Source organism: Homo sapiens, chromosome 8 (assembly GCF_000001405.40).
Source record: "Homo sapiens chromosome 8, GRCh38.p14 Primary Assembly".
NCBI classification, from domain to species: domain Eukaryota; kingdom Metazoa; phylum Chordata; class Mammalia; order Primates; family Hominidae; genus Homo; species Homo sapiens.
Genome location: NC_000008.11, coordinates 138,622,729 through 138,638,377, shown reverse-complemented (window position 1 = coordinate 138,638,377; position 15,649 = coordinate 138,622,729). Strand labels below are relative to the sequence as shown.

At 41.3% G+C, this 15,649-nt stretch overlaps 1 protein-coding gene across 12 annotated transcripts in view; it reads left to right on the top strand.

Annotated features, from left to right (window-relative positions):
* COL22A1 (collagen type XXII alpha 1 chain) overlaps nucleotides 1–15,649 on the top strand; it is a 325,807-nt gene that overhangs the window by 275,664 nt on the left and 34,494 nt on the right. For 10 of the 12 annotated variants that reach the window (XM_017013150.3, XM_011516886.4, XM_011516884.3 and 7 more), the window contains 5 exons: nucleotides 1,583–1,636; nucleotides 3,315–3,368; nucleotides 7,630–7,683; nucleotides 12,135–12,188; nucleotides 14,593–14,646. In XM_017013150.3, coding sequence (XP_016868639.1) covers nucleotides 1,583–1,636; nucleotides 3,315–3,368; nucleotides 7,630–7,683; nucleotides 12,135–12,188; nucleotides 14,593–14,646 — 270 coding nt within the window. Of the gene's footprint in view, nucleotides 1–1,582; nucleotides 1,637–3,314; nucleotides 3,369–3,472; nucleotides 4,302–7,629; nucleotides 7,684–12,134; nucleotides 12,189–14,592; nucleotides 14,647–15,649 lie in introns of those variants that run through there. The other 2 variants (XM_047421412.1, XM_011516888.3) reach the window with 1 other exon arrangement.

Sequence of the window (15,649 nt, the reverse complement as noted above, 5' to 3'; positions counted from 1 at the left end):
CCAGAGAGTGGACATGATATGCTTAAGAATGCAAAGTTAAGGGATGACAGGCATAGAACCACAACAAAGATTGACCTACAGTCACAAACCTATTTAGTGCATAATGCATTCTTTTAAAGGAATTGAAATGTTTTTGTTTTAAAAACATTTTGCTGAAACACACTTATTAACACAATAAAGGCAGAGCTAAGGTAGATAATAGTTAAAGAATTTGAACCTTTGGATGTTACTTTCTTGGGTGGTCTGTGAAAAGTATTTTTGGTAGGTTGTATATTTTGAGCATCTTGATGACCATGATGATGATGACAATGGCAATAATGATGACAATGATGATGATGAGGATGATGGTGATGACAATAGTCATGGTGTTGTTGATCATTATGATGTAGACGATGATGATGGTGAAGATGAGGATGATGACGGTGATGGAAACAGTGATGATAATAGCTCTGGTGGTGCTGATGTTGATGGTGATCATGATTATGATAGTGATTATGGTGATGATGGTTATGGAATAATAATGATGGTGATGGTGATGATAATGATCATGATGATCATCATGGTGATACTGACAATGAGAATGATGATAGCTAATGTTTTTTTGAGAGCTAACACACAACCTGTCATAAGTCTAAGCACTTTGTATATTTTAGGTCATTTAACTCTCACAGTAACCCCATGACAAAGATACTATTTTATGATTCTCATTTTAGAAGTAAGAAGACAGAGAGTTTAAGTATCTTGTCCAATGACACACAGTTAGCAAGTGGCAAAATAAAGAAGATAATAATTATGACTAAGATTTATTGAGCTTTTACTGTGTTCTGGGCTCTATGCCAAGTGTTTCCCATTTGTTATTTTATTCTCTAACATTTTCACAGGGTAGGCATCATTGTTTTCTTGTTCTTGTAGGTTACAAAACAAACGAACAACTTGAGCAGTTTTAGTGAAGTGGCTCCTCAAAGTCTCACAGCTAGTAAGGGAGGGAGCAAGGAACTTATGTATGGATAAATTCTTCCAAAGCTTCCCGTTTGGTGCTGCTGCTCCTGCTGGCCACCATCTAAACTTCTCCTTCTCCCTCACCCTCACACCTGTTCTGCAAGGCCTGCAGACCCTGGGTTTATTCTGCCTCTTTTCCTGCCACTCCTGGAACACCACTTGTTTTTAACTGACCCTTTTCTCTATAGCCTGGACCACTAGCCTATCCCACACTATACCCACAGCTAGAACCTAGGACAATTTCACATCCTTTTAATGGTTTCCAGTGCCTACAACTAAATCTAACATCAGATGTTGACATGCAAGGCTCTCAAAGAAATGAGCCCTGCCTGCCTCCCTGGCCCCTTTCCTGCTGCCCGCTCTCCAACCCCATACCCCAAATCCCAGTTAAGCCATTTTATCACACATCCTCAACCAGGCCCTGTTTCTATCTATCTGCTGCCACCGTGCCTGAGCTACCACAGGAACTTGATAAGAGATTTTTGGAGAATTAATGAATGGATGAATGAATGCATGAAAATGATTTTTGTTTTCCTATTAAAATTTCCAGTGACATCTTTCTTTTCTTTTTTTTCCTTTCAAGGGAAGTCAAGGAGAACGTGGTGCAGATGGTGAGGTTGGGCAGAAAGGTGATCAGGTAAAAATTTACTTTATAAGGAACCATTCACCCTGAGGAAGGAGCACTGTTTCTCCCAGGTGGCTTCCATTGTACAATGTCATTCCTTGTCTCTTCTTTGCCTGTAGCAGGATTTTTTAAAATCTCATTTTTATGGTTTTCATCTTGGTATCTCTGGTTCACTCTAAGTGCCCTCTCTCCCTCAATTATTGGAGAAGCCTCCCTGCCTTTCCTTTCCTTTCCTTTCCTTTCCTTTCCTTTCCTTTCCTTTCCTTTCCTTTCTTCCTTCTCTTTTCTTTCTTTTTGTACTATTTTACCTTTACTTTTTTTTTCACTGAAATGGACACTCATTAAAAAATTCCCCCTTCTTCCCTCCCATCATCTCAATTAACTGTTGCCTGGCTCTCTTGCTGCTAGCTGAAATGCTTCACAGATACTCCATGCTCTGATCAGATCAGTGCCCATCCAGGCCTGCTGGACCACTGCTCCTAATGTGCTATAGGATGGTACCAATAAGGGCTCACTGCTCTCTCTGTGGATCTGAGCATGGCCTACCTATCATCCTCTATCCAGCACAACCAGCTGATTTCTGCCCAGTCCAATTCTACCACCCTTCCTGCCAACGGAAATGACTGTTATCCTTCTGCTTTGCTGCTGTCATCCTTTTCCCTGTTCTCTTTTCTCTCCTCTCCCAGCTGCCCTCCCCTTTACTTCTCCCTCTCTTCTGCATCTCACAGCCAGTGCTCATTGTCAGCCAATTCCATGCCAGGCACTGCACCTGGCTCTGAGATCTGGAATGACTCGCAGACAAACTCCTGACCTCACTGGGCTTGCAGTTCAGTGAGGGCATGAGGGACATGAACGAGTAACCCACAGGCAGTGAGATGAGAGCAGTGCTCAAAGTCTGAATGAGCTCCTTGGCTAAAATCTCTTCTGTATTTGGAAAAACAAAATGTGTTTGGATTATTCTTATGAGAATGACTTATCAAAGGCAATGTACTCTACATTGAATGGTGTAGCCTGTGGTTTCAGTGGTAAGGCTTGGAGGTGGAGGGCAGAGAAATCATTTGTTTCTTGGTGGTTTATTTGGTTTCATAACATTGTTGTACAAGACTAAGTGTTAGATTCCAAGCTTTGTTCTATAACTTTTTCAGCTCATTCTATAATATGCAATAGACTCCTCTACACATGGAGAAACAAATCTCTTGCTTAAAATAACTGTAATATTGCCAGAATATGGAGGCTGTAATTCAGTTAACCTAACCATTTCCATTGTGTACATTGTGTTTCTGTGCATTTATTTGTTTTTTATGTTTTTATTATGAAACACTTCAAGCATATCTAAAGAATAAAGACTGTAATAAAATGAACATTTATGTACCCTGCACTTAACCACAACAGCTTTCAATTATTATGGCCCCTCTTGTTTTCATTTATGTCCTCAACCATTTCTCCACACCCCCTGCCCACACATTATTTTGAAGCAAATCCGCTTTCAGGACATGTTTGTTTTTATAAATGTTGTCAGTTATTATTGAGATATATAAAAAGAAGTCCCTTTTATTGTCAGTGTCTTTAAGCAAAATTGTTAGTAGGGTTGGAAGGTGGATTCTGTATTGTTTTCTGAAATTTGATATTTGCACAAAGTAAAAAGTATTTTTCAAGTCATTTTAAAGAATTGCATCTTGTGTTTTCCTAGGGTCATCCTGGAGTTCCAGGTTTCATGGGGCCCCCAGGGAACCCTGGGCCACCAGTAAGTAATCATCTTTAATCCCCTCCTCTTTCGGCCTTGACATTTGAATGCACATCTCAACTCACCAGGCATGGTATGACACTGAGCATATCTCTCATTTTAAGGGATGGCCCAACACCCAAAAGGTGACAGAGTTGTCCTAAAAATGCAAGTCCCACAGGCATGTGGGGGAAAGTGCAGACGGTCTGGAGTAGGCTTGATGGACCATGCAATTAGAGTGATGTTGGGACTGGGGGACATTGGCAAAGACAGACAGACTTCTTCTTTTTTCAAATTGAGCTTTGGTGGGTAGGAAGCTAGTATTTCAAGATTATGATGGCAAGCAAAGAAGGTAGAAAATGAGAAATTGTAAGCAGCTTTCCCCATGTTATGGGGAGCCTGTCTTGATATTATCTCAATGATCTCCACTGGGCCCCCTGAGCAAATGTTCTCTCTGCTTTTACAGTAGCTGTAGCCTTGACATTGACTGGTGCCCTTCTCACCATTTCCCTCTGCCTTCAGTGTAGGCTGCCCATAGATTAGTCATGTTCCTCCTCTGATCAGAGTCCACTGCTGTTGCAGCCCACATATCCATCATGGGTAGCCATGGCAACAGGCACTGGAAATTAGTGTTCCTGCCAAGCCCAGGACCAGTCCCCTGGGATTTCCCATGGGTTCCACATGAGACCCTTGTCCCAGACCTTGCAAGGAGAGGATTTCTGGAATGACTGAAAGACCACCGAAAAGGATCCCCCTTCAAATAGGAAATACCCTGTTTGAAAGTATAGTGAAAAGAAGTTCAGTTAGGAGTATAAATTTAAAATATATGAAATTAAGCTTGCTTTGTCATCTTTTTAAACAACTCAACTTCTAGTTGTTAACTGTGTGTTAATTAGTGGAATAAGTTAAGTTGTTTTAAGTGTATATTTTCAATAAAATCCGATGAAAGCATGACATGGCATCTTTCACTTCATGTTGACTTTTAGAGCAAACTCACAAAAAGGTAAATTATCTACAAAAGCACTATTCAGTTTCCCAGAAAGCCTACTTTAAGTCTTTAATATTCAACACATTTTCCTCCCAAGCGCCTTTGATGTTAATATTATTTTTAATTTCTCAGCCTCACATCTTACCTGGCCCAACTCTGCCATGTGCACATTTGTGAAGGATATTGTAGGGAATTTATCAGTTTGCTGTCATTTAACTTCACAAAATTCTACAATTCTTTCAAGGCTTATAATTTCACTTAGTAGTTGCTTTGCACTGTATTTGAATATTATTGGATTTTGTAGCATCTGACAATCAGCAAAAAGAGAAACTGATAATGATGCTGATACGATCAGTAGTAGGGAGAGGTGTTAGTGTTAAGCAAAGAGGGGCAATTGAGAGGTAACTAATTTTACTTAAAAAATAGTTTATTCACGAATAATTGTATATTATGATGACATTAGCTTCCTAAATGACATTGTGCTCCTTAACAGCTGAGGATCTCAGAAAATGAATAATGGATTACAGCCTCATCTCCACTCCACCCTGGTAGTTCCAAACCCCATAACATGTTCCCAATGAAACCAAAATCCTGATCTGTTCTCACTGGAAGCTGCAATAAGTTAGAACTCTATGACTGCTGTAGGAAATGACTCCTGGCTTATTATTCTCATGCTAGATGATGTATTGGAGGCCCAGAAACAATCATAATCAGAAGCCAGCTTGTCTGTCTCCAGCTGATTAATGCTTTCAATTCACTTGGCAGATGTTTATTGAGCTTCTATTTTGTGTCGTGCTTTGTACTGTTAATAGCCTGTGAGAATGGATGCTGAGGCAGCTGCCTGTTTAGGTTCAGCAGCCAATCATGCAGAAGCAACTCCACAGCAGAAAATTAACCTTTCTGGTCATGTATGCATTGTTTTAGTTTTGCTCTTTGTTGTTGCTTGTTTTCAAGTGCTTATTAATTGTCAGGCCCTGTTGGAAATATGCAGGGATATGGGTAGCGAGCTGACAAAGCCCTTTCTTTTAGTATTTATTTTCTGGTGCTCAGTCAGCATCCTTATTCCAGATAAAACACTTACCCCATCCCCATATGCAGTAGGGAATTTTTTTTCAACTTGGCAAGATTCCAGACTCTAGGATGCCAGAAGCTTTTTATCAAAGTTATGTGGAAAAATCTAGATTTGTTATATTAGCTTTGGACTACATATTTAATTAAAGCATGAACCTTAGGTTACTTGTTAAAATATTATCACTCTCCCTTTATTTCATGAACATTTACTGGGTCCCTACCTAGTAGAAGTGATAGAGACAAATCTGATTGCACCCTGCCCCAGGAGTTTGTCATACATGGAAAATAAGACAGGTCTTCTACAGTTATATCAAATTTCCTTGAGATCCAAGACCATGATGTAGTCATTTTTACATCTCTAAAATTTGGCTTGTACCTAGTACAGTTTAGGCGCTTGATAAAAGTATGCAACAATTAAATAAAGGCTGCTGGAAAGACATCAATAGAGTACTGCGGGAACTTGCTTATTTATGCTTTTATATTTAGTTAATATCTGCAGGATTCCTTGTTGTGGGTGGACAATAGACACTTATATTCATGGAAGGTCCCTATTGGACAGCCCTTAGCATTTCTCTGGTGCTAACTCCTTATGTGTCATGAATTCCATTTTCTCAACAACCCATGTAAAATAGGTGCTGTTCTTTTCCTTCATTTTACAAAGGAACTGAAATACAGAGGGGTCAAGTAGGTTTCCTAGGCTTATACAGCTGTTGAGTGGAGAAATGGGATATGGGCTCAGGAACTCGAACTCTAAGAGGCTGCACTCTTAACCAATACCCTCTCTTCTGTGCCTAGCACCTTGTAAGCATTGCCGCATTGCTCCTCCCCTTCCTAATGGCATGTGCAATTTCCAGCCTTTCACTGTGAAGGAAACTAAAGTTGAGAGATGTTACATGACTCAACCAAAGCTAGTAAGAGGCACATGTGTGAATTTGTCTAAAGAACTGCTGCCTTCATAACCCAGTCAGTTCAACTTCTAATTCATTCATTTATTCAAGAATATTGATTATTTACTATATCCCAGGTACTGTTTTAGTTCCAATGAGGAACTAAATTTAGTGTTCCAATGAGGAACACTAAATAAATGAGAAATCAATAAACACTAGCATGTCAGATTTTTGCAGGTGCTATGGAGGAAGGTAGACAGAAAAGGGACCTCCCCAGGGCAGGGATGAGGAAGGGTAGGTCTTTCAGTTTTGGGTCTGGTAGGCAGAAAACCTTTCACTGAGAAGCTGATATCTGAGCTAAGACCTGTAGGATGGGAGGGTATGAGGCTGTGCATATGTGAGGGACTAGAATGTAGGGGGAAGAAACAGCATATGCAAGAGTCCCCAGCAAAAGTGTGCCTGGAGCTCACTTTGAGCTGCTTGCTCGGCTGCATAGAAGTCTTCTTCCATTCATCCATCTGTGCATCTCTTCACCCTTGAGTTGACACAGCAATTGCCTTCCTAATCTCCTGGAAGATAAATCGAGTTGTCCATTTATTACTTTTTGTCCTGAAATGTTGCCTGATATTAGCTGAAAATGCCCATCCTGAAGTGAGTTCATTTACTGTTTTCAAAGGGGTGACTGCCTGGCTAATGCATTGGCCCGTCCTAAAATGTGGATGCTATTCTCTGAACATCATGTATTCCCAGAGAATAGCTCAGCCTGATGAAGAGGCAGAAGCACATTTGAAATATTTATGGTTCAGGAAGCTAGGAAGGGGCACAGAATGTAAGATCTGTGTGTTGCTATATTAGGATGTTTTTACATTGCTACAAAGAAATACCTGAGGTTGAATAATTTATAAAGAAAAGAGGTTTTATTGGCTCAGTTCTGTAGACTGTACAAGCATGATACCAGCATCTTCTTGACTTCTGATGAGACCGCAGGGAACTTCCCATCATAGAGGAAGGCCAGGTGTGTCACATGGCAAGAGCAGAAGCAAGAGAGTAAAGGTGGGGAGGTCCTAGACTTCTAAACAACCAGATCTTGCATGAACTGAGTGGGGGCTCACTTATCACCAAGGGGATTGTGCTAAACCATTCGTGAGAGATCTGTCTCCATGATTCAGTCACCTCCCACCAGGGCCCACCTACAATATTGGGAATCACATTTCAACATGAGATTTGGAGGGGACAGATAACCAACCATATCAATTGCTTTGTATTCAAAGCAGAGGGTGCTAATGACCTCTGTCTAGATGCACAAGAAACTAGCTTTCTGCCTTGTCTTTTTTAGGGGGCAGATGGAATTGCAGGAGCTGCTGGACCACCAGGAATCCAAGGGTCACCTGTAAGTTCCTCAAGGAATGGGATCTGTTTTTAATCTGTCTTTAGCCTTTCTGGAACCCCAGGTGTTTGCCAATTCTGCTCTTGTCCTGTGTGCCTCCTGTGGCTCACATATTTTTGAGGTTCTGTTCACTACAAGTCTTGCAATGAAACTGCTGGAGGGTTTGCTTTCTGTTGGACCCCTGTTTACTTTGCTGCTAAAGTAAAGGTTTGGTTGGAATGATATGAAGATCTGTGATTCCAGAATTCAGTTTACAACTGTCAATGCAAATAAGCCCTACATTTAGGCCCCATATCTCAATTTCTTGTCAGTGTGGTTTCTATATTGAGCAGGTGCAGGGAAGTGGAAAGGCTCAGTGCTAACTCACCTAGGACTATGGTGTGCACCAGGGGAATGTCAGACAAGAGGCAGCTATTGTTATCCCAACTGTTCAAAAGAGGAGAATGGAATTAAAAAGAAGTCACTAGTCCAGGATCCCAAACCGCAACCAGTGGAGTTGGCATTTGAACCGAAGGCTTTTATCTCAAAATCCAGATTTCATTTCTTGAAGCTGCCAGAACCACTCTTGGTTTCAATGCCATAAAGGGTGAACCACAGTTTAGTAGGTATTATGTTAGTAGCCAATACATGCATGGCAAGTAAATGAATATATGGTACATAAATATTCCTTATCTCCATCTGACAGCTCCTCCCACTTTGGACCTGTAAGTTAGAAAGGCCATGAATCATTATCCACATCTTATAAATAAGGAAAGTGGGGATTGGAGAAGTGAAATGGCCAGTTCAGGGTCACACAGTGAGGGAATGTCAGAGCCAGGCGCAATCCCTAGGCCACAGGAATCTCACCATCATATTCCAAGGCCAGCTAGCAAGCAGGCCAGCCCTACCCTGGTATCTCTGGAGTTCTGTGCAAAGGGCATTATTACTTAATAAGACTTCGTCCATGTCAAAGGAGGAGGTCAGAGTCCCATGGGGTTATGTCACTTGGTCAAAGTCATACGGAAATTAGTGTCCAAGTTGGGAGTTAAGTCAATTTGAGATTTCTCAGTTCAGTGCTCCCTCTGCTATTCCACATTGACCCACCATGTGGGTGGTCCAGGCAGCCAGACGGATGTTGAGTCTGAAAAATCACAGCCACATGGTTCTGTTTAGGATCCTCATCTGGTTTAGGATCCTCATCTGGTTAATCCTTTTGAAGCCGCCCATCTAGAAGTCCCAGGATGAATAAAATATAAAATATACTGGGCCGGGCACAGTGGCTCATGCCTGTAATCCCAGTACTTTGGGAGGCCAAGGTGGGGAGATCACCTGAGGTCAGGAGTTTCAGACCAGCCTAGGCAACATGATGAAACCCCTCTACTAAAAATACAAAAATTAGTCTCGCACGGTGGCACATGCCTGTAATCCCACCTACTTGGGAGGCTGAAGCAGGAGAATCGCTTGAACCTGGGAGGCAGAGACTGCAGGGAACTGAGATCGCACCACTGCACTCCAGCCTGGGCGACAGAGTGAGACTCCATATGCAAATGATTTCCCTAATAAAAACTAATGGATTGTTTGCCTGAAGAGAATAAGATGTGGATCCAGGGCCAGGCACGGTGGTTCACACCTGTAATCACAGCACTTTGGGAGACCAAGGTGGGCAAATCATCAGGTCAGGAGATCGAGACCCATCCTGGGAAGCCAAGGCAGGAGGAACACTTGAGGTCAGGAGTTCAAGATCAGCCTGGCTGTGAAACGCTGTCTCTACTAAAAATACAAAAAATTAGCTGGGCGTGGTGATATGTGCCTGTAGTCCCAGCTACTCGGGACAGTGAGGCAGGAGAATCACTTGAACCAGGGAGGTGGAGATTGCAGTAAGCCGAGATTGCGCCACCGCACTCCAGCCTGGGCAACAGAGTGAGACTCTGTCTCAAAAAAAAAAAAAAAAAAAAAAAGATGTGGATCTAGGATATAAAACTACCACATTCTTGGAATTAAACTGTACTAAATAAGACTTTGATTCTGTCATGGGACCACTCCTCAAGCTATGGTAGCACTTGAAGCTGTCCGTGGTGCTGAAACTTTACCATAACCATCAAACCAGAATATACTGGAAGTTTTGTTTGCCCAGTGAGCACTGGTAGTTACAAAATAGAAGTAATTTTTTTTTCTTTTTCTTCTGAAACAGTTTCACTCTTGTTGCGGAGGCTGGAGTGCAGTGGCACGATCTTGGCTCACTGCAACCTCCATCTGCTGGGTTCAAGTGATTTCTGACTAATTTTTGTATTTTTAGTAGAGATGGGGTTTCACCATGTGGGCCAGGCTGATCTTGAACTCCTGACCTCAAGTGTTCCTCCTGCCTTGGCTTCCCAAAGTGCTAGGATTACAGGCATGAGCCACGGTGCCCAGCCAATAGAAGTAATTTTTAAAAGTTAAATGGGGGCAAAATTATAATAAAAAGATACATACAAACCTTAGTTCTGTTGTATTTTGAATTAAAAGACAAACTGTTTGGCAGGCTTTTTGACACAAAATAAAGCCCTTTACTTTGATTTTTGGTAATGAATGGAGTCCCTTGTCATCTGTCACATAAAAAGAACATCCACTGATCAGTTTTTGTTACTTTTTTGAAAGGTGGTTGGAAAATATAACAACATATGTATAACAATATGAATGTAGAGTTCTAGATTGTTAGGATTTTTTTTCCTAACCTTTTGTAGGTATCTTATCTTATAGCTATATCAATTTAGATGGTGAGTGGTGAATGACTCACTTTTGGTCAGCGTCTTCAAAACTCTGACTTAACTTCTATAAAAAGGGTATTTTTTTCCACCTAAATTTTACTGGATTGTTTAATCAACAATTAAATTGTATGACTTTCATAGCAAATAACTGATGCAAACAGGCTTAGGAACAAGCACATTGACTCCTTGCAAGCCTTGAACTCATCCGGTAGGAACAATAAAGCAAGGGTGTACTGCAGGCAAGGGTGTATTGTAGTGTTGTGACCAGGCCTGGGTTTTTGGAGAGGATGGGGAGGCTGGTTTATAATGGGGATTGGTCAAGTGGAGGTTAGTTAAGGGTCTACCATGTTTTAAGTTTCAGCCTCTCTGCCAATGGAATTGATTTCTAAATAAATAAAAGTCTAGTGATGGCAAGAAGACTGAACGGCGAGTCAGAGGTGGAGTTCTTTCCTGGATCTGCCACATTCTTATTATGGGACCATGCTCTCCTCACCTGAGTTTAAAGAGAATGGTCTAATATAGTACTTGGCAAACTTTTTCCATAAAGAACCAATTAGCAAACATTTAATGCAAAATCAGCCATAGACAACATGCAAACCAGTGGGTGTGACAGTGTTCTGATAAAACTTCATTTAACAAATCTGGCAGTGGGCTGAAGTTTGCTGACTCCAGTCCTAGATCACTGGTGTTTCCACATTAGGGAATTTGAAAAATAAGCATCCAGGAAGGAACCCAGGAAGCTCCATTATCAATAACTAAAAATCTCTAATAATAACTCCATCTTTGTCTTGGGTTGAACAAAAATATCCACTTAATTTTCTTATGTGTTTTTAGGTGTTGTGATGTGGGGAGGGTTGAATATTTTGTTTTATCCTGGTTATTATTGCGCATTGCCTAAACCTTAAGAATACCTCGTTTTGTGTGGCATGTGAATTAGAATGTAAAACCTGGCACCTGTGTCTTATCTCCCAGTAAGCACTTGTAGGAGATTATAAATTTGTCAGCTCTAAATACTCATGGTAAAGACACAGGGTGATATGATAATACTCACCATGATAGGAATTAGGGCACTGATTATATAATGCTGATTTATAAGCCCTAATTGATACTTATGTAAGTCTTTGATGAATAAAATGGGAAATAAAATATTAATTAATGAAATTTGGTAAAACAGTTTTTCAAATACAAGGAAAGAGATAGTAAAGCAATTATTGGTAAAACATGTAGGAGCCTCTGGAAAAATGATGAAAATAATAAACCATCCTCTATGCATGCACCCCGGTCAGCTCCCCACTTGTGTACAGTCCTGTATGCACAACACCTCAAGGTCCTGAGGTATGTGCTGTATGGGTAGAGAATGTGAATTTCAGGAAGTCTGGGGACAAATACAGAGTTGGATCTGGACCCAGGTCTTGTGGATACTAAAACCCGAATAGCTTCTTCCCACTGGCATTCCAATATTCAGTTTTCCCTGAGCCTCTGTATTAATAATATGGCCAGAATGAGCTCCAGTGTGTGTACCAACAGGGGTGGCTATGCTCAGCCCCAGGGAACCTCACTGCCTTGGGGGAAACAGCTCAGAAAGCCATGAGGCTGATACAGAAGCACTCCTTGTTTCTCACCAAACACTCACTCCCCCAACCCATGAATGCAGTTCCTTGTGAAGTCATTTACTTCCAGAAAAGCCAGCAGAGGTTTCATGGTGTTTTTATGTCTTGGATCTTTTAGGGGAAAGAAGGCCCTCCTGGCCCCCAAGGCCCATCTGGATTACCCGGAATCCCAGTAAGTGGCTTTTATAAAAACAAACAAACAAAAACAAACTAGTTTCTCTTTATAAAAACAAAGAAACAAAAATATATTCCACTGTCAAAACAAGGCCTGGCCACTAGAATTTTGAGTGTTGTAGAAAATTAGAAACAAAATAATCACTAACTTGTTTATCAGTCAAAGCCAACTAAAATTTGGGTAGAATCAGTCTTAATCTTGTACTTCTTTTAGGCGTATATTGGTTGTTTCTTATTTGTTTAAATAGTAATTTTTCTCTCTCTACATATATATGTATGTGTACTTGTATATATATGTTTATATTGTTAAAACAAAACACACACACATATATATATAACTGTGTTAATTAACTATTTGTGATAATGTAAACATTTTCCATTTCCCATATTAATGTTAAATGTTCATAAACTTTACATTTAATAGACGCAATGGATGCACCATAATGCATATTATCATTTCTCAGTTGCCTCATAAACTTTACAATTATTTTAAAAAGCAACTACAACGGACAATTTTGTATGCATAGCATTTTAAAAATTTCTTTATGATGATCCTCCAAAATGTGATTGGCTTGCCAGAGTAGAGAAACATCTAAGGTTCTTGACACATACTGCAAAATTGCTTTCCAAAGATGTTGTCCTGAACTTTTCCATTTAATATCCTTCTCATTAGAGTCGAGCTGTTCAAGGCATTTGTAATAAATTCCTCCACAAAGGCCATGCACTGCCTTCTGCACTGAGAGTGAATTCTTCTGTGGCTCTTTGGCCTCTGCTTGCTGCTGTAGCACTTACTGTCTACAGTCCCCCAACCCTGCCCTCCACTGTGCCTTCTTTTGTTCCAGCCACACTGGATTTTTTTTTGATTCCCAGAATGCACTGAATTCTCTCCTGCCACACTCTACAACCCTTCCCAGGCTACCAGGATGCCTCTTCCCTTCTTTCGTTAGTAGATGCCTTCGATCTTCCCCCATCTCATCCCAGCTATCACTTCCTTCCCTGCTCCCCACCAGGCTAGGAGAGGTTCGATCTTCCTTTTCTTCGGAGTGCTTATCTCATCTGGTGATCGCATTTCTATTGGTGTAATGGATTGATTAATTCTCCATTATTCGTTGGTCTGGTTGAATCACTCATTCAACAAACAACTCTGTTTGTTAGATCTGAGGACGTAACATTGAAGCATGCCTGGTAATTAATCATGGGGTTATATTCTGTGCTGTAGGTTCTGCATGAGCTGGAACTACATCTGCTTTTGTTTAGCCTTGAGTCCCCACACATAGTGAGCACACAGCAAATATTGACAAAAGAAACATGTGGATGAATGAATTGCTTCTTAGAGCTTTTTCTCCTACAGTATCTGATATGTACTGCCATTGATCAAGAAGGCATTTCCTGGGCATCACTGACAGTCCTGTCTGTAACTCTGCAGCCTGGAGGTTAAGTAAGCTGTCCAGGACACACAGATCTGAAGTGACATGCTGGGATGTTGGTATGAACTACAACTCTGGAGACTAGGATATCATAGCAGTTAGGAAATACGTACTGATTTAATTTTAGCAATGGTAAAGCTAAGGAGAAGAAATTTCAATTTGGATTTTGTGTTAACCCGTTATCAAAGTTCTAGAGTACTGGAGAAGAGAGATACAACCTTACATATGATTATGCTATTTTCTTAATAATATCCATTTCTCCATCCCTCCCTCCTTCCTCCCTCCTCCTTTCTTTCCTTCCAATGGAAATCTGATCATGTTACTTCCCTCTGCTCACTGTTGTCCTTAGGCTTAAGCCAAAGACTGGGCCCTGTTACTTCCCTGGCACCTTGTGAACGACCCCAGCTTTGTTCTCTGTTTCTTTATCACTCTGTTTCCACTTCAAGGACAGAAATGAACAATGCTTATAGCCTTTCTGTGACCCAAACGTGCTCCTTGCTGTCATTCACTGAGCCCCTCCTGTGCCCACAGTAGTGAACCATGCTGAGTACCTTCCTGCGTGTTATCAAATGTCCTCATTATCATCGTCAGCATCCACATTCCCCCCTCACCCATCACTGTGCTCACCCAAGAGGCCCAGACACCAGGCTCTCATGTTCTAAACTTGACTTCACGAAAATGCCCAGGAGAGGCTTCTTTAGGTCAATAGCAATAATAATAATAATGCTATTACAAAATGTATTGCTTTCCCACTATATGCCAGATACTGCAAGTCAGAGATCCACAGCTGGAATCTTGGTGTTGAGAAAAAAACCAGGAAATCAGAACAATTCTGTCCGTTGAGACACTGCCTTAGCTGCCAACTGTGAAGGCAACTGCTGGAAGCTGGGCAGGAAGACATGCTGAAACTGCCTTCGTCTTTCCATCCCCTCGAATCTTCTTTGACCTGATAACCAATTTGAGTTTCTCTTGCAGGGAGAAGAAGGCAAAGAGGGCAGAGATGGAAAGCCGGGTCCCCCTGGAGAGCCGGTAAAGGACTCTAAACTTCCTATTATATCACATGCCAAATCTATTACATGTCAAAAACAACTACTTTGTGTGAGGAGCTATTTTGAACCAGTCTCGAAGATAGGCATTTTCTATGCATTATTTCATTTACATACTCCTGCACAGTAAACACTGCTGTCCCCATTTTAAAGCAGAAGAAACCTGGGCCTCGGGGAGGTGAAATCATGGCCCCAAAGTCACATGATGGGCTGGTGACAGAATCTGAACCTGAGCCCAGGGCTCCTGTCCCTGCTCCACATTTTGGTTTACTGCCCCCTGTAGCCTCAATCCTATTGATGTGATAGAGGAAGCTGAAGTAGATGAGCATCGCCTGGAGGAGAAATCTGATATCTGGAGAGATCAGGATACCTAGTAAAATCTGAGTGGCACCTGCTAGCTCCAGACATTGTGGGATTACACACACACACACACACACACACACACACACACATAAATATATATATATATATATATATGTACACACACATACTTGTAACTCTGGGATAGGGTTTTCTCATTTTGGTTTTGGTTTTGGTTTTGTTTAATGTCAGCTGTCCAGGGGCACACAATGAGATGGATCAAGTGCTAGTGAGAATGTCTTGGTGGTCCCAGTAGCTGTTAGTTGGGAATGTGCAGGGATTTACAGAGACCCGTATCTGTGACTTCAAAGCTGTGCTCACTGAGTTTGGTCAGTCCTTCTTGCCTACGGATCAGAGATTCATCATGATGATTCATCGGTTCCTAGCACCTCTTAGGTCTTCCCAAAGCCCTTTCACAGACACTACACCAAGGGCAAGATGGAGGACGGCATCAGTGGTTTAGAGACCTGGGTTCTCCAAATGCCCACCAGTATGAGACTAGTTAAATGATGAGCTGTCCACCCCATAGAATACCAAGGGCTGTCAGAACGAATGAGGATGTTCTCTAGATACTGATGCAGGACTGCTCCTAGATAGATTGTGAAGTAGAAAAGCAAAGAGTAAAA